Source organism: Homo sapiens, chromosome 2 (genome assembly GCF_000001405.40).
Source record: "Homo sapiens chromosome 2, GRCh38.p14 Primary Assembly".
Lineage (NCBI taxonomy): Eukaryota > Metazoa > Chordata > Mammalia > Primates > Hominidae > Homo > Homo sapiens.
In genome coordinates this window covers 3,418,519-3,435,767 of record NC_000002.12, presented here as the reverse complement: position 1 = coordinate 3,435,767, position 17,249 = coordinate 3,418,519, and the positions used below count along the sequence as shown (strand labels likewise).

General features: G+C 45.7%; 1 protein-coding gene across 15 annotated transcripts in view, besides 2 other annotated features; it reads right to left on the bottom strand.

The window, feature by feature from the left end:
• The window catches only part of TRAPPC12 (trafficking protein particle complex subunit 12), a 99,872-nt gene that overhangs the window by 43,798 nt on the left and 38,825 nt on the right, over positions 1–17,249 (bottom strand). For 11 of the 15 annotated variants that reach the window (XR_426956.4, XR_007076381.1, XR_001738761.2 and 8 more), the window contains 2 exons: positions 13,774–13,887; positions 11,105–11,243 (listed from right to left, as the gene is read on the bottom strand). Coding sequence is in view for 11 of the 15 variants with exons in the window: in NM_016030.6 (NP_057114.5) it covers positions 11,105–11,243; positions 13,774–13,887 (253 nt within the window). In the remaining 4 variants the exon portion in view is untranslated. Of the gene's footprint in view, positions 1–11,104; positions 11,244–13,773; positions 13,888–13,981; positions 14,069–17,249 lie in introns of those variants that run through there. The other 4 variants (XM_011510350.3, XM_047444637.1, XM_047444639.1 and 1 more) reach the window with 2 other exon arrangements.
• Positions 1,982–2,232: a silencer, noted in NCBI's record as "fragment chr2:3437307-3437557 (GRCh37/hg19 assembly coordinates)". NCBI's record gives its function as "represses an EF-1alpha promoter that drives an FKBP-Casp9 reporter gene in an ReSE screen in K562 erythroleukemia cells {active_cell/tissue: K562}" and the evidence as "EXISTENCE:reporter gene assay evidence [ECO:0000049][PMID:32094911]".
• Positions 4,631–5,131: an enhancer, noted in NCBI's record as "H3K4me1 hESC enhancer chr2:3434408-3434908 (GRCh37/hg19 assembly coordinates)". NCBI's record gives its function as "activates a minimal SCP1, AML or CMV promoter by ChIP-STARR-seq in naive H9 embryonic stem cells {active_cell/tissue: H9 hESC(naive)}" and the evidence as "EXISTENCE:reporter gene assay evidence [ECO:0000049][PMID:30033119]".

Genomic DNA, 17,249 nt, shown 5'->3' with positions numbered 1-17,249 from the left:
CCTTTTAAAAACCACACAGGCGTTTAAAACCTAAATGGGGGTTAAGGGAAAAGAAAGTGATGAAATTCTGCCTGAACTTCTGTGAGGCCTTGGGGACCAAACACCTGCTTGTACTCGTGGACTCTGCGCTGCTGGAGCAGGTGGAGCTGAGCTGTGCTCAGATCCTCCTCCTCCAACAAACCCAACTTCCGGGCTCTTTTCAAATCTCCCCCGTGCTATGGCACTCCCATTTCTACTGCTTTTGGGAGGTGGGGAGGATATTTTTGTGAACAAAATGTACCAATTTCTTCCTTACATTTGGGGGACATATTGAATAAAATCACAATTAAAACTAGCGCTAATGTAGCAAAATTCTTTCAGAATTAAATTTTAACATTTTAAAAATGTTAATGTTATTTAAAAAAATGTTAATGAGCCATTCCCCTGCCCCCCCAGTAACAGTTAACAGTAACTCAGCTGGGCGCGGTGGCTCACGCCTGTAATCCCAGCACTTTGGGAGGCTGAGGCGGGCAGATCACTTGAGGCTGGAAGTTAGAGACCAGCCTGGCCAACATGGCGAAAACCCCGTCTCTACTAAAAATACAAATATTAGCTGGGCGTGGTGGCATGCGCCTATAATCTCAGCTACTCGGGAGGCTGAGGCAGGAGAACTGCTTGAATGTGGGAGGTGGACATTGCAGTGAGCCGAGATCGCACCACTGCACTCTAGCCTGGGCGACGGAGCGAGACTCCATCTCAAAAAGAAGAACATACAAACCACAGTAACTGGAACTTCTGGGCATCCTCGTTGCCACAGAGGGTGATCGGCTCCTCCTGCTGCACCGGCCAGTCCCTCGGTCCAGATGGAAAACTGTAGCCTGAAGGGGACTGCCTGGGGTTCTGTGGCAGGGAAGAGATGGCTGGCTGTGTCCTCATTATGGTGGCACTATTCCCTCACGCTGCCACCTCTCCTTGTAGACACTCGGTTATCAAGTAAACAAACATTCCCTAATCCCAATTCATCAAAAACTGCCAACATACGGCCACCAGGCCACTTGGCAGCCGCTCTGCAGAGACTGTCAGCTGGAAGCTCTGGCAGCATCCCCCAAACAATCCTCTCTCATGCTTCCCTCAATGGGAACCTAAAAGCTGGGCTCTCCCAGGTAGACGCAAAACCAAGAAAGACAGCAGCGGTGACCCAAGCCGGCCAGGTTCTTCCTTAAATATGCTGTCATTGTTTGTGCCTTTCTTAGCAATAGCTGGAGCAAAGTGAAGACTGAAGTGGAAAAAGATCTTCATCCTCCTTGACTTGTATCATTGAAAAAGTCTTGCACAGGTTAAAAATCTTAAAGAATAAAAATCCGAAGGAAAAACATTATCTGCAACTTCATATGAAAGAGAAAAATGTAGGGAATTAAATCAGAAAGAAAAACACCCCTTCCTAGAAAAAATATATAGATCACAGAATTAAAACAATAAATGGAAGCAGCTGGAGAAACCATCTGTGAGCTCCAGGTAAGGTGTGTGAATTTCACTGAGCTGACATTTACTCAGCAGCTCCTAGCGCTGCGCAGGAGGGCCTGCACTGGGTGCACACAATGACAGCCACGAGGTCCGTGTCCTCAAGGAAACTACTCCCCTCTTCAACAAGATGCATACAGAAGCTGCTTTGGTGTAATTCATACTTTTGTTCTTAAGTAAATGCACATAAAAATACCTTTAAGCTGATTCTCTCAGTGGCCAAACCTAGCCCCTGTCTCTGAAGAGCTACCCTGGGAATCTCACTGAAATCCTCCATGCTGAGGGTGGTTGTCAAGCGAGATAAAATATGCAAGGCTTCCACACCAGCCCTGAGGCCCGTCTCTCTCCTGCAGGGAGAAAGAGCATTGGAAAGGAAAAAAAAAGGAGAAGCTAGTCAAAATCTGTAAGGAAAAACAATTCCTAGTGGATCTATTTTTCCGGAAGATTCCCATGTATAGTTGTGACCTGCCAAAATCTAGGTTGGTATAAATACTGTAGAAGTGTTCTCATTCATCATTTAGAAAACATTAAATGAAAATACTCCTACAAAATTTATTTCAGACCGTCCCTTGTTGTGCTGAAAATCCGTGCTGCCACTATAGAAAAGAGAAATGTGCCAGGAATTGCCCGGGCCTTGGTGCTGGGCAGTGAAAAATGAAAGGGAACAAAGATGACATTTCAGCTTCCCTTCAGTGGGGTATGCTACCTTCCGCCACTCACTAGCTGTTTGTGCTGGGTGGCTCACATCCTCTCTGCAGCCTTCTGTGTCACTGCAAACTAGGGCGGGAGGGCCCAGAGGCAGCTAGGTTGCCGTGAGGCCGCAGCAGGTGTGACATGATGCCTGGACGCCTGTGCCACCTGCCTCACAGAAGGGTCTGCGGGAGCCTTCCAGACCCTTTGCCCAATTTTAACAGCTTTCTTCAGTAAGGCACAAACTTACAAGTTTGCCCTGGCATTTCCGTCTCATTTTCAAGTTACGCGAGTGCTTTGCTGGGAAGACTGCTTTGTATTTATTTCCCACTGTCTCTGCCTGTCTGGGTGTGTCCTTCCCTATCCTGACCTCAGCAGGCAGGATAAGCCATGCCTTTGGTTTGCCTGTGCTCAACGCTGGGGATACTGCTTGGTGTCTGTGCCCGGCCAAGCACACAGTGTCACACTTACAGCTCTCAACAAGTCATTTTTGACTTTAATGTGGCATTGTAAATTAAAAACAAAACAAAACAAACCAAACACAAAAACAGTGAGAAAGTCCTAAGAGAAAAAAATACCTTAAATATTTCTTATTTAAATGATTTGCTTAACTAAAGCCCTGAAGCATGAAGACAAACTGAGGCTTGGGTCACTGCCTCTGTACGCGTCTGCCACAGTCATGTGCAATCCACGTGTGGCTTCAGCTACAGCCCAGTGACTGGCCAAGGCCTGTATCTTGTGCAGACAGGATAAGGAGAGGTCTCCATTTGGGTGTTCTCATGGTAGATACGGAACCCCAAACTGAAAATTCCCCTATTTTTAGTAGTTTGTTCTAAGAAAAGACTGAAAATGCCAGATTTCATAAAAACGGTGGGCAAAGTGAAAAGCAGTAAGATGAACTAACGAGCCTTCTCCGAACAAATAAAGCAGCGATCACATGTCCAACCATCAACGCTCGGGAGTTCTGATGCAAAGCATTGTGACCTGGAAATCTAAAGCAGAACGTGGTCACTCTGCAAGGTGAGGTAATTTTGTCATGAAAAATAAAATCCGACACTGGAAACATGCTGAATATTTAATTCTGAGATATCACATATGGTTATGTGTTGATAAAAAAAAGTTTCAGAATTTAATTTGAGAACTCAAAATGTGAATTTCATGATTTTGGAGGGAGGATGAAAAAGGAAGAAAGATCCAGTGACAGTGTGCCTTTATGCACATAGAGGAGCAGACAGCTGATGGAAGAGTAGAGAGATTCGGCATCCGATTAATGGAAGTGTTTGCCCCATCCACTTTAATTTGACCTGATGGTAATCCGCACGGATTAAGTTCTGAAGTACCATTTCCTGTGACGTCATTACAGCTCTTGTAACTTAGTCTAAACATGCAGATCTGAATTTAGTATTAGAAGCAGCACTATACTTCTTAAACTGCATAGTGAAGATAATCAAGCTGCTTTATTTCCAGCGGGAAGATCTTTTGGGCTCCTATTTTCCCTCTAGTTGCATGGAAACTTGAAGTGAGCAATCTAATGCAGAATGTGGTACTTTAAAAATTCAAAGCACTATGAAAGTTTACATGCTCACTGCCATTGTGAATGTTTCTTTGGAACGAGAGGGGTAATTCCAAACAACAGATTAAAAAGATGGTGGTGGGGGTCTGGAAAAATTTAACTGCCTGAGAGAGGATGAAATTAAACTTGTCAGGAATGGACATTTAATTTTCTTTAACATAGTGAATATGTACAACACAAGAGTGAACCCAAGTGTAAACTATAAACATTTGTTAATAATGCTGTACCAATACTGGTTCATCAATTGTAACAAATGTACCACACCAATGCAAGCTGTTAATATAAAATGAATGAATGTTCTAGAAATATTTTCATGGATATAATCCCTATCAACACTTTTCATGACTGCAAACCCTATAATGGGAGAAACAATCTGCACTAGTGTAACAATTTAAAAAATAAAAAAAAAAATCTAAAAGAAAATTAAAGAAAGAAGGCTAGTACAGGGATCTGAAGAATGGCTCTCAAAAGAGAAACTTTGTAGGATTTTGGAAAGGTATTTTAAAGCCCTAACGTAAATAGTTATTATGAAGTTATCAACATTTAAGACAAACAAAAACAAAAATACTTTTAGTGCTGGGTAAAGGCTGGCATCCATGGCGACGGCGACCCTGCCGCCCTCTGGGCTGGATGATGTTTCCTGGGACCGGGATGCTCCCTGCAGATGCTGAGGTGCCAGTGAAGGCAGACGGCTGTGCTGTGGGGAGATTACAAGATTACAGAGACTGTCTGTCTACAGGGCCAAAGACTCTGTGGGATGAGATCCCGGGAGCACTCACGTTAAGTGCATCCCACTGTACTCGATGGAAGACGGCGAGGGCAGCAGGTGGCCTAGGGCCTCAAGGGTATGCCAGGAGAGAGAGCATCTTTGACAAGTGTGCACGAGGGGCTCTGCGGGCCTGCCTCAGAGCTCTTGGAAGCTCCAGGTGAAGAGCTGCAAGTCAGCAACTGTGTAGACTCTCTTCCCAACACCGCATCTCCCAGAGCTCCTCCACACCCAGCGGACGGTCCCAGCAACAGCGTGCAGAGCTCCTTCACACCCAGTGGATGGTCCCAACAACAGTGTGCAGAGCTCCTCCACACCCAGTGGACGGTCCCAGCAACAGTGTGCAGAGCTCCTCCCACACCCAGCGGAAGGTCCCAGCAACAGTGTGCAGCAGCTCCCTTAGGAAACGTTTTGGAAAGCTGTCTGGTAAATGTCTTTACTTGTCTCAGCCTACTTGGCAATGACATAGGCATGATTTCTTTGCATTTATTATTCCTGATATAACAGTATGTGGAATAAAGAAGATACTCCTAAAACATGTCATGTTGCGAACAAAAAAGGTTATGTTTGTATTTTTAAACTAGAATTATTTTTTCAGGGTTGAAAATAGTATTTCCCAGAATGGGAGAAGATATTAATATTTCCCAAATACAAAACAGATGAAGGATTAAATACCTGCTATATAGAATGAACCTCAACCAATTAATAACAAAGATAACCCAATAGAAATACAGGCCAAGATTATGAAAGAGTGAGTCACCAAAGAGGAGACTCCGACAGACAAAGGACACATAATTCGGCAGAAATCAGAAAGACGTCAGTTGCGACAGGAGGTAGAATTTTAGACTCACTGGTGAAAGTCTGACAATCTTTAGTTACACAAGAGTGGGGAAACAAACTGACAGGCTGTGGCTGGGAGTGGAAATTAGCATGGTCACTCTCACATATGCCACTTTAAATTTACAGCTCAGAGAAACGCCTGAACATGTACAAAGGGAAATGTACAAGGATGCCCATAACACCATTGCTCATAATAGCCGAAAGGTGGAAAGATCCTAATTGTTCATCCTTATGGATACGGATATGGATGGATATGAATAATGGAAAGTGGGGAAAAAAAAGCAAATGAAGACAGATATGCTCATGATGTACATTTACAAAGCTTATAAGACAATAGTCTCTCTCTGTATATGTATTTCTCTGTGTGTATGTATATGTGTGTGTATGAAGCAAATATGTAAAAACATGACCTGGAAGAATACACAACAAACCATGATTGTGACTGCCTCTGGGAGGGGACTGAATTGGGAGGAGGTTCACAGGCTGTATCAGCAATGGGTACTTTCATTTGTTACAAAAATGTCTAAGGCAAATATGAAAAAATATTTGTTAATGGTCCGAGTATTTAATATTTGTATTTAAATAAACATCAATTTTTGTTGAGCAAAGAATAGATTCAACCAGATCCCAAAACAGACTTTCTCATAAGGTACGGAAGTAGTGGGTTAGAACAAAAGTAAATAGCTTTTATTAAAAAGCTATTAGAACAGAAAAAAAAGTAAAGTAAAAGTAAACAGTAAATAGACGTGGGCAACATAGAAAAATCAAATATCTGAATTTGCACAAATCCATCTGGAAACAACAGTGACATCCTGTGCAATGCAAGAGTACTCTACCTCAACTATCTGAAGAATTCACGGATAGGGAACTTCTGTTTCAAAATCAGAGAAACGCGAATAGGAAAGGCAAATTTAAGATATACTTATCTTTTTTTCTGTCCCTGGAGATGCATGATACAGGGTATCACTATGCAAGTGAAGTTCAATTTTCAGAGATAAGACAGTGGCTAAGAGCAAGTTTTCTGCACACTATTTTTATTCTTCTTGTTTTGACATCTTCCACCAGTATGACCAACGCCGATCCTCTGAATTCCTGAAGCTGCATGACAATTCTAGACAGAACAGCTCAGTTGCCAAGTTATGTGTGAAGTCTGAGGGAGCTAAAGCCACACAGTCTTTAAGTGTGTCCTGCAGGGACACAGAGGACTTCCAGTGAATGAAAAGATGTGGACAATCTGCTCACAACCCCCAGCCAGTTGGCTTCTAAACACAAATGTGAGCTTTCAATGACTACCCCACAACCCACGAAAGGAACTCTGATAAAAGGCTTGATGCAAGCAGCTTCCACCTCTCCCGCTTGCAGCCTGGGTGCTGGGGATGGATGAAGCTGGGCCCTGGGTTCTAGGGATGGATGTAGGGTCTGAGAGGGGAAGAAGCAACGAATGCAGTAGAAGAGGAACAGAGGAAAAGGGGGTGGAGATTGAGGAGCAAGAAAGGAAAATCAAGAGAGGACACCCAGGTCAGAGTCAGTGCTACCTGGGCTTCTTGTGGCTTTGGGGGCCCCACCCAGAACCGCACAGACCTCAGCTCCGGGGGCGCGGGGCTGGGTCGGCCCCAGGCACGTAGTCCTCGGGATTCTTCCTGTGTGCAGGAGGGAGTCTCCAAACAACCAAGTGAAAGACACAGCGCCAGGGTCAGAAACGGGGCTGGGCTTTGGGGGTGGCTGAAAGGAACTGACTGAAATTGCTAGATTTGACATGTAAATACATCAACCATAATACTGTTCCTTTCTTGGATGAATTTTTTTTAAAAAACCTTCATGATTTTTACACATGATTCATTACATGTCTTGTTATGAATATTCTGAATGGGCAAAAATTACGCCCAATATTTACATGAAATATATTAAAGCTCATTCATAAAAGTTTTTATAATTATAGCCTCCTTTTAAAGCACATTTTAACAACTTGCTCTGCTTATATATTGCAAGCGAAAATGAAGTGAATGAATCAAAATCTTACATTTATGCTTTGTTACACCACAAAATGGGAAGAAAAATTAGTAAACATCCAGCATATTATTGAGGATGAATGTTAATACGCTTTTGCTAAAATGTATGTATGATTTATGTCTATTTCATAATTTAAATTAGCTTCTCAATGATGCGTAGCTGCTGTCTTCTCTTTATCCATTTACCAATGCAATTTAATTTCAGGAAGAATCAAAGCATGTTTTCTAGGCTTGACTGAACGTCCTTAGGAAAAAATGTCCTCAAAGTGAGGAAAGATGACAGGCAGTTTCCACCTAAACCCACAGATTTTCATTCGCTATCTTAAAGGGCACTCAGTGTCATTTCCATCAAAATCCTCTCCTTAGAGATGGGTAAACAGTGCCACGGAGTCTTCAGCACACTGTAAAATAGGATACACAAGGCGATGTTGGGCATTCCTGAATGGCCAAAGGTAAAGGTTAGAGACCAATGGGAGCTGGAGTTTTTTTTTTTTTGTGGGACAGAGTCTCACTCTGTTGCTCAGGCTGGAGTGCAGTGGTATGATCTTGGCTCACTACAACCTCCGCCTCCTGGGTTGAAGAGATTCTCGTGCCTCAGCCTCCTGAGTAGCTGGTAGTACTGGTGTGCACCACCATGTCCGGCTAATTTTTTGTATTTTTAGTAGAGATGGGGGTTTTGCCATGTTGGCCAGGCTGGTCTCGAACTTCTGGCCTCAAGAGATCTTGAGATCTTCACGGCCTCCCAAAGTGCTGGGATTACAGGCATTAGCCACTGTACCCAGCCAAGCTGGATATTTTTACCTGGTCATGATAGGAAACATCTGCCTTTCAGTCACACTCATTCTTAAACACCTGTCATAAATTCAGAAGCAGGTGTTGTAAGAGGAGTCATTTTGAATCTATAATTCACACGGACCTCAGTAGGAAAAGAAACCAGAGCACTTGGTGCAGCTCTGCGCTTCAGGGTATCTGGTGGTTTCGATTAAGGCCTGGGTGCTCAATGACCTGAGTTTTCTGTTAGCAGCAGACAAAATGCCTAAAAAACCAGCTGTTCAGTCCCAGTTCCAGTCCCCGGCCCAGGCAGAGTCCCACAGACCTGGGTCCAGCCCCCTCCCGGGACTATGAACCACGTGGGAGGGCGGGGTTGGAGGCGATGCTCAGGCTGCAGTCAGGCAGAGGGAAGAGATGGTTTTATTTATGCTGGGATGGGGGAAAACAAGGCTGATCCGTGTAAGAAATAGGAAAACAGCTGTTTCTTGACTATGATAGCTACCAGGCATAACTGATTAAACAGAAACACCCTCAAACTTCCCCAATTAACAATGCCTTTAACCTTTCCATCTTTTCTTCACAACCTACCAAGTGACAGGCTCCCCATTCTTTTTGGGCTGGAAATTCGGTCTTACACGGAAAGGATGACCCTCAAATTGGCGATGAAGTGGAGACAAGAAAGGGACACGACAGAATCAGGGAGCCCAGTTAATTTACAAGGTAGAACAGTAGCCCTTGAACAACCAGCCATGGCTGTATCTCTCCAACTCATGAGCGGATGTGGGAACCACCTACGTGCGGACTGGACGGAACTTTGGGAGGGACGTAGACGAGACTTGCTCCGGGGGAGAGAGGATGGATAAAGCCCTGCTCCTCGAGGACAGTGCTCACGACCACCGAGCAGCTTCCAGGCTGGAGTGCAGGAGAAGAAATACCCCAGGGAAGAGGTAAAGACATCTTTATCCAACCCATGGCTGCAAAAGCCAGACTCCTGGGGACAGAAGGCCTGCTTGGCCAGCAACACCAGTGAGGGCCCTTCAGCAAGTTCCCGAGACTCCTCTGGCCCCACTTCCTCCACCTGTTGGCCAGGCCACGGCAGACAGAGCTCCTGAACACGCACCCTCAAGCGGTCCTGGCTTTGGTCTGTTCCTCCTGGTCATGTGGAAGGCCAGCAGGACTGGACAGGCCAGTGGGTGGGCAGGAAGTGTCACACATTAAGGACTGGCGTCTACGTCCCTGGATGACACAGAGTCCTACGTCCGAGAGTGATAGTGGTGTTGCTGGTCCTTCTTGACTCTGTGGCTACCTAGCTTGGTTGGTTCACTTCCATGAAATCAAGCCAGCTCCATCAAGACAATCTCTTTGATTTATGCCCTATTTTAGTTATTAAAAGTTACCCTTCCCATTTTTTCTTTTCCACAAGGGGCAAATTCCCTTAGTCAGAAGGAAGAAACAATTTTAATACCAGTGAGACTAAAGGTCAAAAAACACTTTATACTAAAAATGATAAAAATCTCCATCAATTCTGGGATAACTCAGAGTAATATGGACCAATTCCCACCCGTCCTACTTGGAGGAAGGTAAAGATGATAAAGGAGAGAGCATGGGGAATAAAGAAAGCCGGCGTCTACATTCGTTCCTATGCCCCTCCAAAGAAACAGAGCTGAGTTTTAACCAAAAAAACAACACACAAAGAAGTTCAAAGATTTGTTTTTACTTCTAGCCTTTTTAGTTCATCTATTTACCTACTAGTATCAACCAAGTTCAACAGAATGTTTATTTAAATTTTCTGAGACTTCTATAGGAATTATTATTTTATTATTAATCAGGCCTTTGCATCTCTTGTACCACTGGTTTTAAATATTTTCTACCTCCAATCAGGCTCTGCATTTCCTGACAACTAGGACCATTCTCTGTAGCTCCACTGCTGCAGCCAACAAATGCTGACAATCGAGCCTGCAAAATGCGGCAGTGCGAGACTTTCCCATGTTACTGATACATTCGGAAGAGAGTAAGAAAACCAGCAAATACAGTTGGTACTAGATAGCAGCCATTATTCCAAGCAACTTACACGTGACATCATTTGATCTTTAGGACAACCCAGGCAGCAAGGAGGATTGGCATCTCTGTTTTACCAATAAGGACACTGGGGCACAGAGATGTCAGATAACTCCTCCAAGGCTACGCGATTCAATGGGGGAAGCAGGATGTAACTGGGGATGCCTGACAACAGGGCGTGGGCTTTCAATAGCTGCTTACACTGCCCTCACAAGACATCCTGCCAGGACTGTTTTCTATTTAAGAACACATGAGAGGCTTCAAACATATTTATGAGGTTCTCCACCAAGAGACGCACACTGCACAAGGCTCCCAGTGCTGCAGAAGGCTCTCCGTAACCCGCCCTTCTCCCTTCCCAACTGGTGGTTTCTTGTCACTCTCCTAGAACTACCCTATGCTGTAGCCTAGTGTTTTCCAAACAATGGTCGTGACCGTGACCCAAAGGGTGAACCACAACCAGATTTTTAAAATAAATTAAATCAGAATAGAGACAAACGGAAAATGTCACGGCGTGTGCCATATGCACGGACACGTTTGGTTCCACCGCTCTGCATCTCTGTGCGCCAGGTCCCGATATGGGACGGCTCTTCCCTGTGGAGCGCAGCTCAGACGTCTACTACCCGGCCCCTGCACCAAATCATGCTGCCCTGACAGAGCAGGTGCTTGACACGTAGCTGCTAAATGTACAAACAGATGCACCAGGGAGCACCTCCAGGTCAGTGTTTCGGTAAATCGGAGTGGGAGCATTCTGTAAGTCAAGGCTTGTTGCTGGGTACTTATCTGATTTTTCAAGACTGGATAAATAAGGAAAACTGAGGCTACGAAATTATGTATAAATCAAAGCAAACCAGAGCGACACACAGACAAATGTACAAATATTAAATACCATGGCCTTACCCCTGCGCCCAGGGTACACGTGCGGGTAGTACTCGTAATAAAGATCTGGCTGATCAAGATTTCCGAAGGGTTCAAATTCCATCTCAGCATTCTGGAAAAGGCCCAACTTCACTAGTAGTGCCAGCCTGACAAACCAGAGCTAAAAACAAAATACAATGGAAACAATAGGTTATCTACATATATCCAGTTCAGAATTTGCTATTCCTTATGAGTTGGTGTTAGAGGTTAATTTCTCATATATTAAAATAAGGGCTAACCTAACTTTCTATCTTTGCATATTTACACAATCGTATTTAAAAAATTACTCTTGAAGCTGGGCATGATGCCTCATGCCTGCAGTTCCAGCTACTCAGGAGGCTGAGGTGGGAAGATTGCTTGAGCCCAGGAGTCTGAGTCCAGCCTGGGCAACATAGCGAGACCCTGTCTCTAAGAAGAAATTACTATTGAGCTTAATAACAATGTGAATGATTTTACATAATTGTTTACTCAATAAGTAAACAGTGCTTACTGAGCAGGTCTGTGTGCAAAGCACTGTGCTAGGTGTCATGAAAATGAAAAGGCACCAAAGGAATGCGCCACCTAGTGGAGGGCGGGGGAATGACGGCGGGAACGGGAGCAGGAAGGAGAGGAAGCGCAGGGATGGGTTGTGTTTGAGGGCAGCTCTCAGGGCTGCAGAATTTCAAGGGGCCACAGGCTAAGGAAGGGTCTGCTGGTTCAGGGAACGTAAGGACAAAGGTACAGAGTGGACAAAACACAACATACGAGAGAGCACAGTGTGCTCTCAGGGGTACATTCAGGAAAATGGTGGGAATTTGCATTAGACAGCTGCAGAGCCAGAGACTTAGGATTAAAAGGGTACCTTAGAAATGACCTAATTGGATCTGACTTTACTGATGAGAAGAATGAATTTCACTAAGTGTCCGCTGAAGGATGAACGGATAAAGGAACGTGGCATGACGCACAGTGGAATACCACTCAGCTTTCATGGAGGAAATCCCGTCGTTTGTGCTGTGGATGAGCCTAGGGGACATGACGTTAGACAAACAAGCCAGGCACAGAAAGACAAACACCGTGTGACCTCACTTACACATGGAATCTGAAAACACTGAACTCACAGAAGCAGAGTAGATGGCGGGTGCCGGGGCTGGGGGTGGGGAGGAGGGCCGGGCAGGGGAGGTTTGAGAGATGTTAGTCAAAGGAAACAAAATCCAGTGACGCAAGGAATAAGCTCAAGAGATCTATTGTAGACGTGGTGACACAGTTACAATGTATACTAAAAATTGCTAAGACAGATTTTCAGTGTTCTCATTACACACACACACACACACACACACACACACAAAGGCATGCGAGGCAATGCATGCGATTTAGCTTGATTTAACCATTCCATAGTGTACACATAGCCTGTCATGGTCTGAGGGTTTGCATACAACACGAGAAGATGAAATTTCACATGGTAGCCAATGGGAAACTATCCAGCTCTTGACTAGCTCCGTTTCAGACCTAGTTGGAAAGGAGGGTGGTTCACCCTCTTTAGGCAGCCTGGTGGTTCCTGGCTCTAGGGAGGTCACCATATTGGTGTTGAGCTAGTGCCAACACCTGATCAACAAAGTGCACTACGGCCCAGAAGCCCCAGGCCCAAGTGATCTTCCTGCCTCAGTCTCCCCAGTAGCTGGGACTACAGTCAATGCGCCACTGCGCCGGGCACAGTTTTCCAGCAGGAAAGTGAGATGATCAAAAGTGTGCTTTTTTGGAGGTAGTTTATGGAATGAATGTGAATAAAGAAACTTGAACTAAGTTCATAAAAGAGGCCAAAGCAACACTGCAATGAGAGCTCGAACTGTGGGTGGTGGTGGGTTGGAGAGAAATGATAGGAAAACAGCCTAAGATTTGGCAAACCAATGGATGGAGAGGTGATGGGGGAAAGTACATTTAAAGCTAGAGCGGCTCTTCTTGTCGGCTCTTGGGGGAAGAGAAAGAAGGAGAAGGAGCCTGCTGGAAATAGCTAAGCTGTCAGGGCTCCCCAGAGCTGCTCCTTTCAAAAGCTCATCACAGTTCTGAAGGATCTGGTGATCTGTTTAGTCCCGGGGGATTCCCATGTAAGCTAGAAGAACAGTTAAAAAACTCCCCAGGGAAAGGTAAGAATGTATCAACGTTTGCAGCTGTTCCTTCTTCTCAGATGAGTTTCCTTTTGTTCACAAGTCTATTTTGTGCATTCCCTTTTCTTTTTTCTTTTTTTTTAAATTTCAGAGCAAGTGATATACCACGAGGAGCAAATGGCACATGGACCCTCCGTCCTTGGGGTGGACAGAACCAACTGCTCCTGTCACTGTTTCCTACCGGGCCCAGACACGCCCCAGAGCCCCGCACAGGCCAGTTGCTACTGCCAGTCGTGAGGCGAACCCACCTGCTGACCCAAAGCCATGCCGGTTCCACCATGAGACTGAGTGTGGGCACTTGTGAGCGTGCTTCTGGGGCGCACAGGCATCCTGACGGGCCGAAGTGAGAATTCCAGTGCCCCAGTATAGTATATACAATATAATTAGGAGAGAAAGAAGCAGGATATGAAAACATACTTTTTGTTATTGGCATGAAAGGCCATGGTCCTGTCCATGTCCCCAGACTGTGATAAGCCAGGTTAAACTCCAGCACCTGAAAGGTGTTCTCACCTGCAGTGAATCTGTCGTGTGGCTGGTGAGCAGCCCGCTCTTGCCGTAGCCCTGGCCGTGGGCTGTGAGGAGACGTCCGCACAGGTCCACTGCTGCCCTCCAGTTTCTGCAGCTCTGCAAGACACGGCAGAACATGTGACCAAACACACATGCAAGGCATGGTGGAATCCATGACCCAAACGCATAGCCACTGGCCACAGCTGCTCACCTTGCTGGAAGCAGCGCCAGCCAGCCGTTAGTAATGGTGACAACGTCAGTGTGCTGACGGCACGGAGGGGCATGCCATTTGTCAACGCTGCACGTGTAATTAGGCAATAAGAGAGCCAAGCGTGAGGTACAGTTCAAGCCGATCAAATCATAAAAACATTACAATTCAACAACCGATAGAACATCGGGAAGAGGCTTTTTATTGGAAAGCTCCGCACATCTCTCAATCTATATGACTGGTTTCCTTTTTAGCAAGATTATCTTAAGATTTCTGTCAATTTAAAATCAATAAGGAAATTTTATGCTATGTGTTGGACATATTTATTTGTATCTGTAAGATTTGCATATGACTCTAAAATAACTGGCTTTATATGTTCATAATTTTAATTTATCAATATGAAAAAATCAATGAACTGGGTGAACACAACATGTTCCAGGCCCGTGTGGCAATGCACAGTATACTTTCACATCACTTAACGTTACGGCTTCAACATGGAAAGGCTGGCTGGTACTGACACACTGGCTGATTCGTACAGACTCTTGTGTTTATCTTTGCCCTTGTGCAATACAGAAAGGACAGCCATTAGGCAAATGAATGGGAAAATAAGATCAGAATGTTTAAACCTTTTAAGAAGCTAAAAGTGGATGCTCACTCTGTCTTTTCTCAATGTAACGGGCACTATCTTTGAATACGGTAGATGTCCTCATTTCTGCAGCCAGTCAATAAACATGCTTTAAGTACCTCCTGCCTGACAGAGACTGCAAGGCTGGCGGGGAGGTTAGTGAACGAGCACTCATTAGTGGTATGATCTAGCAAGGGAGACAGACAATTAAACAATATGTTTCTCAAGAATTAGCTAAATGATTTTGTGTGCATGCCAAGCGCTTCTCTGACAAGAAGTTTAGGAGTTTACATATTTTAAAAACGTGTGGTAGAGCCTGCCACACACTTCTTCTGTATACTAACTCACACACGCACTACTCCCTTTCCACGCCTCCTGCACTCCACGCCGGGACACAGAGAACTCAGGACCTGCTCATGAAACGCCTAGGAGGGCAATGAGTCTCAGCTTTGCACTACAGTTGTTCTGCAGTCCTTTATTTGGGCTTCCTCAGGCAGGAGCTAACGACCTGCTCCAATTCCAGCCACAGCGGCGGTGTGGGGGGCTGTGTTGAAGGCAGGAGAGTGGGGCTTGTGTCTTCCGGGGTTCTGACATGTGGCCTCACACTCACACTGCAGGCTCAGCAATGGCTGAGTTTACAGAGCTGAGGTCATCTGTCCCACCTCACAGATGTGACAATTAAAGAAGATACATGAAAGTGCTGAGCACAGTGCCAGGCAGGAGGCAGGCATTAAAAATGTGAACGATGCTGTTAAAAATTCCCAAACTGTTTCTTCATCAATCCAGAGTCAGCGTGTGCGTGCCTAGTGAAACTCTATGTGTAAGGAAAGGAACGGGTGCTGGGCCTTGAGCTTCAGACAGGCCAGGCTCTACGCCTGAGTAGCCGTGTGACCTGCTGCAAGCCACCAGCCGTCCCTGGGCTGCAGGCATCTCAGTTTCCTCCAGGTCTTCTGAGGGGTTGATAGTTGTTTTTTTTTTAAATGCTGAACATCCTACTGTCCACATTACCAGTGTGTTTACCCACTGACCTATCGAAGGACCCCTTGGTTGCCTCTAGTTTTTGGCAACTATGGATAAAGCTGGTATCAACATCTTTGGGCAGATTCTTGTGTGGATATAAGCATTCGGCATAACTGGGTGAAATATCCAGGAGCGTAATGCAGTAACTGGATTGCTGGGTTGTACCTAAGAGTATGTTTAGTGTTGTAGGAGGCCGCCAAGCTGTCTTCCTAAGTGGCCGTGCCATCTTGCCTTCCCTAGCAGTGAGGGGTCCCACGGCTGCACGTCCCGTGGCACTTGGTGTTGTCCATGCTATTTTTCAGCCACTCTAACTGGCATGCGTTTCACTCTCAGGTGAACTTTCCACCGTTCTCTCATGGAGTTTTTCCTTTCACTGTACCTGCCACAGCCTGACGGTGAGTACTGGCCTCCACGGCACCCACCAGCGAGCTGCAAATATTAGCAGGGCAACTCAAATGAGATTTCTTAAACTCTATCTTGTAGATTTTTTTTTTTTTTTTTTGGAAATGAGGACACCAGAGCGTACACAGTGCAGTTGGAGTCTGTGGTTTTCTTCACTAGCTGGTGTGCGGCCACTGGACCAAGTCAGAGAACCACTGATCGACGGTGAAGATGAGATCGGTGCCACGTTCCCCTAAACTGTCCAGACTACAGCAAGTAATACAGGATTTCTGTGTTCTGGTTGACAGTTCAGAAGTATTTTTAGATTGGTTACGATAATTTACTAAAACGATCTCCAAATGCCTTCTCTAGTCTAAATTCAATGCAATAATCACTTTATATAATACAAATGGCTCTGTATATTCTCTTTGAATTGCAAATGTGAAAGAGTGAGAGGGAAAGAGATTGTGCCAAGTCTGAACCAGTTCTATATATGCATCTAGGCAGATTCTGTATCCAGGGGCAACTAATAACTGCTCCCTTCCTGGTTCCCTAGGCCTAAGGCTCTGGCCTTTCCTGCTAGAAAGGCTGGGGCCCTCTTCCCTCAGGACATGACCTACAGTGAGGACAGGCAGGAGTTAATCAGGGAAGGGGAGGGGGCGGAGACCCTAGAAGAGGACAGAATGTGTGCAAAACAAGGCGAGAGCAGGCATGGGGGGCACAGGGAGCAGAGGGCAGGGTGCAGGGCCCGAGGGGATGCAGTAAGGACCAGCGGGCCGGAGGGAGGCGGTGGAGGAGGGGCCGAGCAGGTGTGGATGAGGAGAGGCTGGGGAAGCAGGTGAGGATGGGGTGGCACAGGAGGTGAGGCAGAGGAGGGTCGGGTGTGCTGGCCTTTGCAGGCTTCCAAGAGCACAGGCCACAGCAGTGTCGTGTCATCACATTTGAAGGCCCCTGTCTCCCTGCACTGATGGGGTGAACTTAAGGCGTCCGTGTAGATGTGAGTAAAGCTATGAGGATGTTCCAGCAGCTGGGCCTGGTGCTGGCAATCTGTGCACATCCTTTGGACGCCCCCCACCCCCTACTGCCTGAGTTGGTAGGCAGAGCTCACAGGAACCCAGAGCCCAGCCTCGTGTGCACCTGCACGGTGATAAGGTTCTGTGCTACCATGGAAGAGCTGGGCATTCACAGCAGAGCTGAGGAGCTGGACAGATACTGTATGGCCAGGAAGTCTACAATGTTTATTCT